Below are 15,969 nucleotides of genomic sequence, written 5' to 3' on the forward strand. Positions count from 1 at the left end.
AACAAAGATAAAGTCTATGTCCTAGTTTTAAATGGTCCAGATGGGATGATTTTTCCATATGTTTAGCACACCCACTGTTTATTAATCATTGCTAGCAGAGCTTAGAGAATTACTGGGTTTATTGCCTGGGCAAGGGCTGAAATTTACAGTTTGTATAATCTCTGCACACCTTTTTAATATTCCATCCTTTCTGGATTGCCCTTTCTGCTTTATTCAGGTTGAGTGTGTGTCCAAATCCCTGTGTGTGTGTCTGTGTGTCTATGTGGGTGTGTGACTTATTATAGGGCAGGGAATCTCAGCCAACTGATCAAGAGGAGGTTTTCGTGCCCAAATTTGGATACAATATCAGTCTGAAGGAATGTGTTACATCATAACAATGACAATGTGGGTAAAACTGGCAATACTTGACTCACCACCCTTTACAGTGATTTACTTAGTGTCTGGCAATCTGTTTTTCATATGATGTTTGTTTCTCATAAACAGTTTCAACATGGGAGAGTATGGTGTCAAGATAACAGTCATATCATTCGTCATTGCAGAACATCTACGGGGCTTGCCAAGAAAATACGGTTCTTTTATCCTGGGCTTCTTACAAGTCCTTGTGTTGTGGCGATTGTTTCTCATCAACGTGCTGTGTTGCTTTTTGAAACCTGACCATCATTGCCTCAGTTATGTTGTCATTGCAATTTATCATTAAGTGAGATGAAGTCCATGGAAGGGTCAGCAGGGGTAACAGTGGAGGAAAAGAGAGAGGAGGAAGTCCTGGGAGATGGTACAGCCGCAGAGACGGGAAAGCCTGAAGCAGTGAGCTAAGGAAACAACAGAGGCACCTTGATTGTTTCATTTCTGAAATGGATTCAGTCTTAGCTCGAGTGTGTTGTCTCCATTTTCATAAGTATACCAAGCCCTCCAGCATATTTTTAGTCATAAAATAGTTAAAACAACAATTTGAGGGGCAAAAAGGAGAAACCTCTGTCTTTTTATATCACCATCAGAATGCCACCCCATCAATCCGAGGGAATTCTGACAGAAGGCTTCCATATTTGGAACACCCCCTGAAACTTGGAAGGAGAAAAAAGGGGGGAAGATATTCTTTAAAATTTCTTTTAATAGAATTGGTTAAGACAGTTAATGCAGAAAATGTTCTATTAATCATGTATGCTTTTTATAGTATTTTTACATGGTTTTTGAGATGTGGTTTTATATCTTCAGCAAATAGAAGAATGGAAGGCCTCCATAAAGCATAAGGATAGACAGCTGCGGGCACAGAAAACTGAATATTCAGTCATTCAAAAAAAGGCTTTGAAATCACTCTGCTGGAGTCTTGCATACAATAATTGAGCTCTGGCCAAGCATCTTTTATGACATCCTACCCTATGCTGTAGGCACATAACATTTGCCCTATAAAATAAAATATAGGATTTGTGTTCAGGAACTAGCATTTTTCAAACCAGTTACATAAAGGTGCAGCATTTAACTCATGTCAGTGGACGGAAATGATCTAATTTGAATTTGAAATGTTAATTCTATGACCCAGATTTTGGTCAGATATTATGGGAAATCTACATATAGAATCTCCTTCTTCTGATAGCTCACCTTAGAATGTGTGCCCAGGAAAGCTGCTTCATTTAAAGCATTGTCATCAGATAAACTGGTACCCAGCTTCCTCCAAGATGACAGACTAAGCCCACTTTCCAATTCAAAGGGGAAAAAAAAAATACATATATATATATATATATATATATATATATATATATATATATATTAAAGTGACTAAACAAGAAAGAAAAATATTGTTTATTTCAGGGATCCAGTATATATAGAGTATATCTCAGAAGAAAACAAAATTGGACTTATCAGTTACAAAGTTCAGCCACCTTCTGAGAATGTCTTGCAGTGGAAATGAAAAAGAAACTTCTAGAAGGTCAATATCAAGTGATCCTTAAAAGAACCGGCAATGCACATAGCAAACTGCTAAATGGTAGGACTTAGCAGAAGAACATAGAAAAGGCAGGCCTCTTTCTAAAAATACGTTTCCCACCAAAACTGTCTCTTAGGCAGAGGAATGTCTTATCATCACTGAGTAGCAAATTCTAACCAATATTATTGAGGGCTCTGTTTATAGTTTCTTATCCCCCAAAGTGATTGTGCATGTAGAGAGTTCCCTCAGAAAAACTGGATAATCAGAATAACTCAGCTTTTCTTTTTTCTTACTGAGCAATATAACAAAACCCAGAACTTACTCCAAGCAAGAGGAAATTTGGAAGGGACAGTGGTCCAAGCAACTAAATCACATAACTGGATCAAAATGCTACCTGAAATAAACTCACAGTCTTTTCCTCAAAACTTAGATTTCCCCATCCCAATTTATGTTAATAAATACCCAAAGTCTCCCTGCTGTCCAAAACCTCTTAGTTCAAACATATGTTAGTCACCAAGTGGTACCCATTCTTCTTTCAAAATGTATATACTCTGTCATTCAGTTTTTTGCTTTTGTTCCCCATTGTGCCATTCCAATTCTGCTCCAATTATTTTGGCTACGGGTCTATGGGATGGATTGCTAGGGAGAGACTAGAGACAAATGAAGGTGAAAATTTAAAAGGGTCTTGCAATAATCTAGGTAATGGTGATGCAATAATGGGGGTAGATGGTAAGGACTACCCTACCTAGATTATCTAGATTATTGCAAGAGCCTTCTAAATGTTTGCCTTCATTTGTTTCTAGTCTCTCACTAGCAATCCATTCTACAGACCACTAGCCAAAATAATTTTTCTAAGAAATCCTTTTCATTCTGTCACAATCCCTCTCAAAAGTGGCCAAATGTTTTCCACTGACTACAGGACCAAATACCAAACTTAAGCTGATGACATTGAAAGCCCATTGAAATCTAGCCTACTACCCTACCAGCATTTGGCCTGATTACCTTTGATCATACCATATCAATTTCTTACCCTTAATCTCTCACTTCCCTTCTCTTTGCCTGTCCAAATCTCCCTAACTTCAGTTCTAGTTCAGGTCCTTTCTGCTCCACGAGGCCTTTCCCACTATCAAAGTGCACACTGATGTCTCCCTTCTCTGGACCACTAAAACTCAGCCTAAATGACTATATTGTAAATACAGATACACAACCATGTGCTGCCTTGTACTATTAATAGTTTTATGTCGGCAGGGCGTGACGGCTCATGCTGTAATCCCAGCACTCTGGGAGGCCGAGACAGGCAGATCGCTTGAGCCCAGGAGTTTCAGACCAGCCTGGCCAACATGGTAAAACCCCGTCTCTACTAAAAACACAAAAATTAGCCAGGCATGGTGGTGCATGTCTGTAATCCCACCTACTTGGGAGGCTGAGGCAGGACAATTGCTTGAACTGGGGGGGCAGAGGTTGCAGTGAGCCGAGATTGCACCACTGCACTCCAGCCTGGGCGACAAAGTGACACCCTGTCTCAAAAATAATAATAATAGCAATAATAGTTTTATGTTCATTTTCTGTTTTCTTTACTTGACTATATGCCCCTGAGAGACAAGGATCATTTCTAAAATGCACTGGTAACTGCCACACCGAGTACCCGTTTTATGCCAGACGCAATGTTAGGTACCTTCCCAGAGCTATGTCACTAATTCTAGGCTATAAACTCCATGGAGACATGTCTGCCTTGCTCCCACAGTGCCTGGCAAAATGAACAAGTAATATATAATTATCTGGGCTCCATTGCCTTGATCAACAATTAGCACCCAATTTTGAAAAGAATTTAAAAGCAACACAGAAAGTCCTAAGACATTTTGCAGAGTCACAGACAACGGTCAGAAAAAATACTCTGGTAGAATGAAAGTATTCCCTCCTATCCTCAGAATTGGCTCACCAATGTCATTGGTTCCTTTTGTGCTACATAAATGAACTTTTGTGACACTTCATTATTTTACCATGATTTTCCACGGCTACACCCATGACTATCAGACATTTGTTAGGGCTTCCTGAGAGGACTGGCTAGAACTCTGTTTCTGAGTCATCATTTTTGTCACATAAAAATACCTGACTAGATTATACTATTTAATAATAGTTGTTTTCATTTTTGCACACTTTCAATCATTGAGTTAAATCTGGGAAGAAAGTAAGTTTCCCAAAACCATTTCTACTGCTTTACTCCTCACTTCTAGATTTTTATCCTTTTGTCTCAAAAGAACCCTGGAACCACTGTAGCAATATAAGAATAGCCCATTGGAAACAGTCAAGCTGCTCTCTGACAGGCAAAATGAAATGAACGCAGATGCTCAATGCTCTTGTTGAATTAAAATGAAAGTCCAGAGATCTAGATGACCCAAATTGCATATCTACACAGGTAAGACTACCCAAATAAACCCCACCCAGCACTCTCCTTACATTTTTCAGAATCGAGAAAGCCACTGATGCCAACTCAAATGAGAAATTATAAAGCCAAACTTGGCCCAGTAGGGAATTATATTTTATCCTACCACATTTTTACATTTGCATGCATGGCACCCTTCAAAGCCAGGAGTTTATATTTTCCCACCAAGGCTCAGCATGTGTGAAAAATGCTTTCCAAGAAAGGAAGACTGGCTAAGAGGCAAATGCAAATGTGAATTTGTGGGCAAACATACGCAATTTAACCTGAACTGGGATCTTTCCTCCATGTCTTGGATAGACTTGATAATAACCCAAGTTTCCTCCAGACCAGAATCTTGAACCTCAAAATCCAAAAAAATAATGGCACAAGGAGAGAATTGTTCAAAAAGCAAATGCATTTCTCAATAATGAATATAACATACAACTGGAGAAAAGTGGGGAGTGGGATTCGGCAGGAGATAATGTGCTCAAGGCTGGGAATTATTTGCTAGCTTATTCTTTCCATGAAAAGGATTATCTCTGTGGCTATGAATAAATTCCAAAGCCTCGGATTCCAAGGGATCTTTTTTCCTTAGAAAAGAGACAGTACTAGAATTCAGCTCTACTGCTTTCCAACTCGAAAAGGATTCTCAAAATAAAGATATGTATACAGAGGGTCTTGTGCTAAAGGGGATAATCATATTTACCTACTGTTTTCTCTCCCCACTGTTCCAAAAAAAGAAAGTTTGCTGTAGGTTGTCAAATATGTATACGCAAGTTTAGGTTTTAGAGGATATACGCTTATAGCACATATCAGAGCCAGAGGAAGTAGCTTACCTAACCTGGAAGACAGAGAGGAAGTGGGGAAAGTTGCCACACTAATCTCCATCTTTCCTGGGTGCTGGACCTTGAACCACATTATCTCATCCCTGAGCAACTTAAGATGATTTATGTGCAACAGCACTGACTCTTTCTTTTTGTGTCTTTGAAAATGAAAGAAAAAAGATCTCTACGAGAGATTATATGAAGATTTGAAATTTATTTAATGCATGGTTGTTTGCCTACATATGGCCTAGGCCTGTTTGGTACAATCTGCCAAGTATCTTCAAAGGTTCCCAGAAAACTCCCTAATTCGATTCCACTGCCCTGACTTTTCTGTATCATTTTAATTGTTCCAATGAGATGTGAAATGCTGCGTAGTGAACAGCCTCAAGCACTGATAAACCAGCAATTTGCCAATCTGGATGTTAAAACCAAACAAGCAATACAGAGATAGTCCTTACTCCAAGCAGAATGTCTCTTCAGTGGTCATGTTGCTTTTAACTTTTTTGCAAGAAACATTTTATTTGGAGCAGCTTCAATTGCTGAACATGAAAAATGACAAAAGCAGGCATTGGAGAGTAGTATTGTGCCCCCGGCTCAGGATCCTAAGAAGTAAGCAGACTTTTCTGCAGTGTGGTGCAGTGCCAATCCATGAAGAGGAAGCCAAAATCCTAAATGAAGGCTGAGCTCATAAAACTGTTCTTTCCCTTATCAAGATGAGGTCTTAGGCTCTCCGATTTCAAGGGTTTGCTTTGATTTTTCTTTTTCTTAGGCCGGCACAAGTAGCTCTCACATGGTTTGCCTTAGACATTAATTAATATGGGTAATGACTAACAATTCAAGTAGAAAAAAGCAAAATCAACTAGCAAATAGGAGCTATTTACTAAATATTCAGTATGTGCAAGGTACCAAGCTAGACGCTCAAAGAACACGAAAGAATAGGCAATATGGCTCCATCCTGAGTTTCTCACAGGGCTTATTGAAGAGCAGAGATGAGAGATAACAATAAAATACAAGCTAAGTGTCAAAAATGGCCAGACAAATCAGTGTTTTGGGAGTTGGAGACAGGCCTGGGTTGGATAAAAAAGGCTGAAGAAAACAAATGAGATTTGAGATGAGCCTAAGAAAGAAGAAAATTCAGACCAGTGGAAAAAAGGGAATGGACCTTCATGGCAACAGGTAAACAGGTACAAAAAGATTCTTGCTGAATCTGACAATGTAATTATTAGAGCTTATATGTATTTTTCTTTTTCCTAGGCCTAATTAAAAACTATTTAAATATTTCTGTTTATTAATGACCCTACAAAGGGAAGTAGGCTTTAAATAAATCAACAATTAGGTTGAGATTGACCAAAGCTACATAAACAATTTTGCAGATATTAATGGGCCCTATCAAAGCCTAGTAAACAATTTTGCAGATATTAATGGCTACTACTACAAATATGAAAAGATACATATTAGTAATAAATAGGCTGGACATGGTGGCTTATGCCTGTAATCCCAGTACGCTTTGGGAGGCCAAAGGCAGGCAGATCGCCTGAGCTCAGGAGTTCGAGACCACCTGGAGCAACATGGTGAAATCTAAATACAAAATACTAAATACTAAATGCTAATATTAAATACTAAAATAAAAAAAAATTATCCGGGTGTGATGGCATGTACCTGTAGTCCCCGCTACTCGAGAGGCTGAGGCATGAGAATTACTTGAGCCCCAGAGGTGGAGGTTGCAGTAAGCCAACATCACGCCACTGCACTTCAGCTTGGGCTACAGAGTGAGACTCAGTCTCAAAATAAAAATATAAATAAATAAATAAATAAATAAAACAAATAATCACTAACATGAAGAAATGTAGTGCTGTGTTGCACATTTGGTCTGAAACGTAGATTCTTTCAGACCCATGTTGAGGAGTAAATGTGGAAGTCTTCCTACTTGCTGACAAAGCTCTAGTGAGATCTTTGAAGACTGAGCCTGTGTCATTCAGCTCTGCATACTTAGTTCCTAACAAATTGTCTGGGATTATAGTAGATATTCAGTTAGTACATGTTAAACTGAACTGGTCTAAATCTCATTTCAAGCTGATCAAAATATGGACATTTATGAGCTATAATTTCTCCAGTATTAATTGCTATAGAGTAGATTATGCTTAGAATAACCTTAGAAAGTATTTTCTCACATCATTGGTTTTTAAATCCCCATTTTTGGCCATCATTATGAAACACGACTTTTTGGTCCACCCCATCAATACCATCTCTTGACACCTCTCTCTGAGGTGTCAAGATTTGAAGGACTCTCTTTATCTTGCTTGGTCTCTAATGTGTTCCTTAAGTTCTTGCATAAGAGGAGCATAGTCCACACGATAAGGTGAAGCTGACCTCAGCATCATGACCTTCATTCATTAACAAAAAGAAAAACTTCAGCCATGAATTTGTGGTGCATTGTCAGGGTGGTACCAGCTTGGAGAGAGAGTGCACACAAATGAGTTCCAGTCTGTCTCTCAAAGCAGTAACAATTCACAATAGAAATGTTATAATGTTCTCAGGAGTAATTGAGCCAGTCAGAAATTAAAAAGAACTATGCGTACACAACATAATGAGCAGATTTATTAGAGGGAAATACACAGTTGAAGAGGGAATTACTGAGCCAGAGAAGAAACTATGGAAAAGATTGCCCAACACAATTTCAAGGTTTCACATCAACTCCTAGACAGGATTCTTGGTCTCCACAATACACAAGCATTCAAAACCTGGTTTGGGCTGCTCAGGTATTTTCTTTCATAAAAGAACTTGTAGATCCCAAGCCTACATGTGCTATCTGTTGAAATGTGGGTCCTGATAAATATAAGAGGGTCAAAAGCCAAGCAGTAACTCATCTTAGCTCAAGTCAGTAGGCCTGTACTCATTGACCACTCTGAATTTCCATCTAGGTCTTTACTAAGCACATTCGTGATAAATAATCCCAATTTTTTGACTTTTCTGGCACACATGTAAGACTGGTATAATTCAATTTCCTATCCCCCAAATATTTATTGAGATTGAGCAAGAACCATGTGCAGTATCAAAGCAGTGACTCCATTGCTAGGCACCATGGGTACAATCATGAATAAGTCTTTGTCCCTGCCCTCAAGATGCTCACTGTAACAGAAACAAACAAATCAAAGGTGATCTCTGTGGCTGTGGGCTTGCAATTGAAAGTAGAAGATGTTAGCTTAAACAGACACGCAAAAGAAAGCACAACAACCACCCAACGAATCACGACAACATAAATGAACAAATGTCAAGGAAAGGTTGAGCCTTGGGGTCCAATAAACAAGTGTGATTATCTTGTGAGAAAATTGAGAACAAACAGTGTAAAGGGGAGTGAGAGCTTGAGCAGGGAGGTGTTGAGACAGACTTACCCCCTCCCAGTCCTGTTTAGTCTTCAATGACTTTCCCACAGGTGTTCTTCTGCTGCCACTGGAAGAATAGAGGCAGCTGGGAGGCAGCCAGGAGGAATGTTCATCTTTGTCTTTGCAGCCACACCCAAACCCACAATGAGAGAACTCCCAGGCAGAGGTGCCAACCCCAGACACAAAGGATAATGCAGCAGATACAGAAACAAGACGAGAGAGAGAGTAAGAAAAGAGCTGGTCAGACAGACAGGGCCAGTGCCATCTTTAACAAGGCTGAGGAACACCCAGTTCAGAGCTTCAGGGAGTGACTGTCATCAAGATTAAACCATCTCTGGGATGCTTTGCAAGATAGGAGGAACACTTATGCAACCACCTCTTCAATAGATAATGTTGATCCTCATTAAAACGGGAAAGCCATCTATACAATTTTGCAAACAGTTTCCTATAGCCACCAGATCTTCCAAATGCACATGTGATCCTAAAATGTAAATGGTACTCAGTCACATAAAGGTAGCTTTCTCAACTCTCCCACTACGTCCCAGATCACTAGCTGAACAGAATACAAGCATCTGCCCTTAGCAAATGAACCTATCGTTCTTTTTAAGACTTCCATGGTAGACAAACAATTTGATATTCTCAAATATTTAGGTTATTCTTCTTATTTGGCACTGCTGGCTTTTAAGCCTGGGGTTTCTGAACCAGTACTTGTGTCCATAACCAGATTAGTGCAAAGTTGGTTACCATAGAAGGAGGCCTTCATATGCCCAAGAGCCCCTCCACTGGGCCTGCCATTCTTTTCCTATTTGTCCCTATGAGAAGGAACAACAGATACCTTACTAAACCTCTCATCTCACTTACTTCCTCCTACTCTTTCCCTCACTACATGTCCCCAACTTCCCCAATCTCCTAAGGTGTCTTCCTTATTGCCATTTTTTTTCCTCAGAACTGGCAAAGGAAGACAGTACCAAGCTTAAGACTTGTTAATATGTTAGTTCTATCAGGGTATCAATTCAGTAAGCAACTATTTTATGTAAGTCCCCCAGCTAGGTGCTGTGAGCAACACCAAAAAAAAAAAAATTATCACAGACCATTCTCAATTTCCATCTGGGTTTTTAATGAGCACATTTAATGAGCACATTACTTAAATGTGCTCATTAAAAACATTATAAGGGCTGGGCACAGTGGCTCACACCTGTAATCCCAGCACTTTGAGAGGCCGAGGTGGGTGGATCACCTGAGGTCAGGAGTTTGAGACCAGCCTAGCCAATATGGTGAAATCCCATCTCTACTAAAAATACAAAAATTTGCCGGGCATGGTGATGGATACCTGTAATCCTAGCTACTCAGGAGACTGAGGCAGGAAAATCACTTGAACCCAGAAGACGGAGGTTGCAGTGAGCCGAGATCATGCCACTGCACTCCAGCCTGAGCAACAGAGCAAGACTCCATCTCAAAAAATAAAAATAAAAAAATACAAAATTATAAGCCTTTTTTTTTTCAAAAAATGAACAATCTAGCAAGGATATCTAAAACTAAGTATAAAATGAGATAATACCATAATAATTAATATTTGCAAGTTGCTTTGTAATTTGATGAATATCTCCTCATTTATAATCTTGTTTAATTATTAGAAATATGCTGTGGGATAAGAAGATTATTATCATCCTCATTGCATCAGGGAGAGCCCTGTAGCTCACGCAGGCAAATGATTTTCCTCAGAATAATCATCAGTAGGGGAGCAACAAACAGAGTTAAATCCAACAATTCTAGCCCTGAACGCTTTGCTCTCTCCCCAAGTAAGGTGATAGAAGAAAAGTACAAAGAAAGTGCTATTGGAATTCACAGGAGGAAATGCCATGAAAAACCAGAATGTTCTCAAAACCACATCACAGATGAGTTTCTCCATCAGGCATCTGGCTGCAGTGTCTTCAGTAACTCGTTTATCAAACAGTTGCTATAAGTTCAGCTAACAGTGTCCTTCCCTAGAGTTGTTGCTCTGTCACACAGAAGAGGCCATTGTGGCCTCACTGTTGTTTTCAATAACTCTGGAACATCAAATTTATCTTTATAATTGCAAAGATGTTAAGGTCGCCAGATTTCTGTATTGAACAACAAAAGGACGGTCAATTATCAGATTTTTAATAGGAGACAGGAGAAGTAAAAAGGAAAAGAGAGGCAGAAAGGCCTTAGGGTGACTTAAGTCAGGAAGTTGCAACATCAGATCTTAATTTTTTCATTCAACAAATATTTATTAATTCCCTTCCTCGTGCAAGCCACTGTGCTGGATGCTGGGGTTACAAAAGTGAACAGACTAACCATGTCAGGCACATGCACAAAACATGGGTGCCTACTTCTAAACTGTATATTATGCATCTGAGACATTTCACTTTTCTGGACACTGGGAGAAGCCATTGACAAGCCATTCCAATGCACCATAACCCTGTCTATAATAGATTCCTGGCAACCTGAGGCTTGCTGTTCAGTCAATGATATCTTAAATTCCAATTCTTTAAAAAAAAAGAAAAAAAAGAAAAAAAATGTCCTCAAAAGTGTCCTGACCACGCACTTTGGGAATTCCCACTTTGACGGACTTCCAAGCTCTTTGGGGCCTTCTTGGGAGGTAATGACAGCATATCCAATCTGTCCCTCCCCCACCCCCAGCAGCTTTCTCTCTGACCTTCTTAGAGAGATGGTAATCACTCATATGAAAACCAAACCAAAACTCACCGTAGCCTCCCAACTGCTGATAACAATGTTAAAAGGCCATGTTTCCGGCTCTCCCTCTCTCTGCCAGAGAAGAAGGGTACATGGGAAGGGCCTCCCACTGACCAGGAGTGAAAGAGAACTCTTCTTTCAGACTTACATTTTCCATCACACAGGTGAAATCTTCCCTGGTCTACAAGTCCCAGCAATGGGGCTGTGGGAAAAAGTGGGTTCATTACTCAGAAGAGCCTAACTTTCCTGCAATTTCTCTTCTTCTTCTCTTTGGCATTTCAGTTTATGCATTATTCAAGATGCAAAAGCAAGAAAGGTTAAAAAAAAAAAACAAGCAAAAAAGTCACCTTCTCCTCAGAGCTCCTTTGTAAGATCAAAAAGTTCTCAAGAATGAGGATCACTTTTGTTGAGTTTACACAAAAACACTCAGGCCTCCAGGTCAGACCTACTCTGTTTTAAAATGGAAAGAGGCACCTCCACTAGGATGCTCTGAAAGCCCTCAGGAAAGAAATTGGGAAGACTTTTAATGGAGCAACTCTTATATTCATGGATGGCCAAAAGTAAAATGATGTGATCTTGGGTAAATTATTTGACCTATCTGAATGTTCAATTCTGTAACTTTCAAATAGCATTTGGATTTATCTAAAACTACTGTGCTGACTGATATCTATTATGGAATGGTTCATTCTGATAAATGCAATAAGACAAACTTGGTAGGAAAGTTTCCATGAGAATTTCAATTCTCAGGGCAGGAGAATTTTACCCAAGGGAGCCAAGGAGACATTCAGATCACAAATGGTTGAACCCTGGGAGGACATCAAAAGATTGTTTCCAAAGATAAGTTTCTCAGAACTGGAATCCTCCGAAATGCTCTGCCAAAAAGTGTTCCATGGTCATAGAAGCTTAGAATAGTCAACAGAGAATAACCACTCTTGGACATTCCCAAAGAACATCACTAAAGCTGACTTTGAAATGTCCCATCTTAACTCAACTTTCTTCACATCATTGAACACTACCTTTTCAAAACTTATTTGACCACAGATATTGGGGGTTTAAAAGAAAATCATGTATAAACATTTCATAGATGGGAAACATTGCAGAAGAAGAAATAAATTCACCTTGAAAGAAGGATAGATTCCCAAAACTGAGCTAACTTCCTCAGCATGTAACTGATTTAAGGGTACAGCAATGTCGTTATTACGTGTCTGTCTAGAGCCTGCCAAGCTGAAGTAATAGCTACTGCATTTTTCCTTCTCTAATTGGCATTCTAAGCCTTGGCACCTGGTCCTTAATTCAAATCACAAGACTCACTCATAGCCTCACTCCAATAAACTGGCCTTACTGAAATCACTTCTCCATTTTGCATACATCCAGCTCCCAGACTTTTTTTTTAATATCCTTCTATCCCTGTAGTTCTTTCCCCAGAGACGGGTGACCACTCCTCCAACCGTATTTCATAGAAACGAATATTTGTGTAGAACTCATTAGCCCCACTTCAGGTAGGGTGGCAGTCAATAAAAATAAAACTGCTTGGAAATCAGCAGCTATTTGAAGGCACCGTTGTTTGAAAGACAGCTGATGGAACATGCAGCTGAGTAGGAAGGACTTACAATGGGAAACTGGGCTGAAAAACAAATTGGAGATGCCTTCCTTCTGCTCTGGAAATGAGCTCATTAAAATCCCATGAAGCTGACCTATGCAGCCTGGTTTGCCTACGCAGACTTGGTATAAACTGTTGCAGGCCCTGAGGTTCCTCAAGGCACCATTCTAGGTGGGTAACTTGTCTAGGTTTCCACAGTCCGTTCTCACGTCAGCACACTGACACTGTGCCCAGCTCACCACTAGAAGAAAAACGGCATACTTTTCTATTTCCATGGCACGTGACAGTTTTCAAGCACTACCCTCATGATTTCCCATTGGATCTTAGCTCTGCAACTTTGAAGAAATGATTTTCCCCACTGAGCCTTAGTTTTTCTCATCTGCAGAATGAGAACAAGTGGGCCATGGGTTAGAGGATTCCTTTTAGCTTTTCATTCACTTGTTCATTCATCCAAGGTTTCCTGAGCATTTCCTAAGAGCCAAGCACAGTGCTGGGCACAGAGTCGACAGTGGGGGTTCTCATGGTCAGTAAAGGAGACAGATAATGGACACGGTGAATTAACCAGCAAAAACATTACCAGATATAAATTGCTTTAAATTAAACAAATAGGGATCTCAAGGAGGAATAAGAGAGATGTCTGTAACTCCATAATGCTTCCAATACTCACAGACAGTATATAGAACGGGAATCTAAAACTCACTGAGAAGTTCAGCAAGGGGCTTTCAGCCACACAGCCATCTCGGTCTCCTGTGTCCCATGCTATTGAGAGGTGACAGCGTCCTGGCAGTCCTCACAGCCCTCGCTCGCTCTCGGCTCCTCCTCTGCCTGGGATCCCACTTGGACGGCACTTGAGGAGCCCTTCAGCCCGCCACTGCACTGTGGGAGCCCCTTCTGGGCTGGCCAAGGCCAGAGCCGGCTCCCTCAGCTTGCGGGGAGGTGTGGAGGGAGAGGCGCGGGCGGGAACTGGGGCTGTGCGCAGTGCTTGCGGGCCAGCGCGAGTTCCGGGTGGGCGTGGGCTCGGCGGACTCCACACTCCGAGCTGCCAGCCGGCCCCACCGGCCCCAGGCAGTGAGGGGCTTAGCACCTGGGCCAGCAGCTGCCGTGCTCAATTTCTTGCCGGGCCTTAGCTGCCTTCCTGCGGGGCAGGGCTTGGGACCTGCAGCCCGCCATGCCGAAGCCTCCCCCTCACTCCGTGGGCTCCTGTGCAGCCGGAGCCTCCCCTACGAGTGCTGCCCCCTGCTCCATGGTGCCCAGTCCCATCGACCACCCAAGGGCTGAGGAGTGCGGGCGCACGGCGCGGGACTGGCAAGCAGCTCCACCTGCAGGCCCCGTGCGGGATCCACTGGGTGAAGCCAGCTGGGCTCCTGAGTCTGGTGGGGACGTGGAGAACCTTTATGTCTAGCTCAGGGATTGTAAATACACCAATCAGCACCCTGTGTCTAGCTCAGGGTTTGTGAATGCACCAATGGACACTCTGTATCTAGCTACTCTGGTGGAGCCTTGGAGAACCTTTGTGTCCACACTCTGTATCTAGCTAATCTGGTGGGGACGTGGAGAACCTTTGTGTCTAGCTCAGGGATTGTAAACACACCAATCAGCGCCCTGTCAAAACAGACCACTCAGCTCTACCAATCAGCAAGATGTGGGTGGGGCCAGATAAGAGAATAAAAGCAGGCTGCCCCAGCCAACAGTGGCAATCCGCTCCGGTCCCCTTCCACGCTGTGGGAGCTTTGTTCTTTTGCTCTTTGCAATAAATCTTGCTACTCCTCACTCTTTGGGTCCACACTGCTTTTATGAGCTGGAACACTCACCGCGAAGGTCTGCAGCTTCACTCCTGAAGCCAGCGAGACCACGAGCCCACCGGGAGGAACCAACAACTCCAGACGCGCCGCCTTAAGAGCTGTAACACTACCGCGAAGGTCTGCAGCTTCACTTCTGAACCAGCTAGACCACGAACCCACCAGAAGGAAGATACTCGGAACACATCCGAACATCAGAAGGAACGAACAACTCCAGACGCGCCACCTTAAGAGCTGTAACACTCACCGCAAGGGTGCGCGGCTTCATTCTTGAAGTCGGTGAGACAAAAAACCCGCCAACTCCGGACACACTATCACTGCTCCCAGGGAGATAATTCACTTTTTGAAGCCCAGCAGGGAGGAAGTACACTTTTTGAAGCTATGCAACTGTGAACACTGTGATTTAGAGGGGATGAAAAAGAATAGCAGAAAAAGGAAAGGGAAAAAAAAAGAAAAGAGACAAAATTTCTAACTAAAAAAATTAAAATTAAAAAAAACCAAAAAACAAAAAAACCTTCCCCCTTTACAATCAGGCTTGGCCTGACAGCCAGCTTGAAAATCTAGGGCAGAACACAAGGGACTTCCCACCAAGAACTATGGCTGATTATTCCATTTTACATTTTTAAAAAGAAAAGGAGAAGAAGAAAAAAAACTTCTCGGAAGTGCGAATGAGGATTGAATTGCAGTAAAGCACAACAGGCCACCATGTCTGAGCAACAGGGATTTGGTTCTCTGTATGGAGATGCAGTCTGACAAGACAAGTTCACTGCAGTTCACAGCGCCGTTGAACGCCAAGGCCCAGGAGGTTCACATCTGGGACTCAGCACACAAGCATTATCACTGCTACAGCTGCAGGTAATTATTAGTAATAATAATAGATAATATTTACATAGCCTGTTTCAACTAAAGATCCAAAGACATATGATAATACCTACAAATTTCGGTGCACATAGCCACCCCCAACAACCTGCTGAGGGATGGCTTTCCCATCAACACAATGCAGATGACATGCAGCAGATTATCGCCGGGCACTCTAACCTGGCAGCAGCTCAGGATGGAAAGCTAAAGGAATGAAATTTAAATATTAATTTAGGCTTTCTGAAAACCCATAGAATCAATCCTTAGGAAAAAGCAATGTTTTTACACATTTGTCAAAACCCACAGAAAGTAAAGGAAGTCCTCACTTAAGTTTGTCAATAGGTTCTTGGAAATGGCGACTTTTGACAACTTCAAGTGAAACATAACAAAGCCAGTTTTAACATAGGCTAATTGATATCAGTAAGAATTACATTCCTACAGCTT

At 41.5% G+C, this 15,969-nt stretch overlaps 1 annotated feature.

Annotated features, from left to right (window-relative positions):
• Window positions 13,924–14,430: an enhancer, noted in NCBI's record as "H3K27ac-H3K4me1 hESC enhancer chr8:117543437-117543943 (GRCh37/hg19 assembly coordinates)". NCBI's record gives its function as "activates a minimal SCP1, AML or CMV promoter by ChIP-STARR-seq in primed H9 embryonic stem cells {active_cell/tissue: H9 hESC(primed)}" and the evidence as "EXISTENCE:reporter gene assay evidence [ECO:0000049][PMID:30033119]".

Source organism: Homo sapiens, chromosome 8 (assembly GCF_000001405.40).
Source record: "Homo sapiens chromosome 8, GRCh38.p14 Primary Assembly".
NCBI classification, from domain to species: Eukaryota; Metazoa; Chordata; class Mammalia; order Primates; family Hominidae; genus Homo; species Homo sapiens.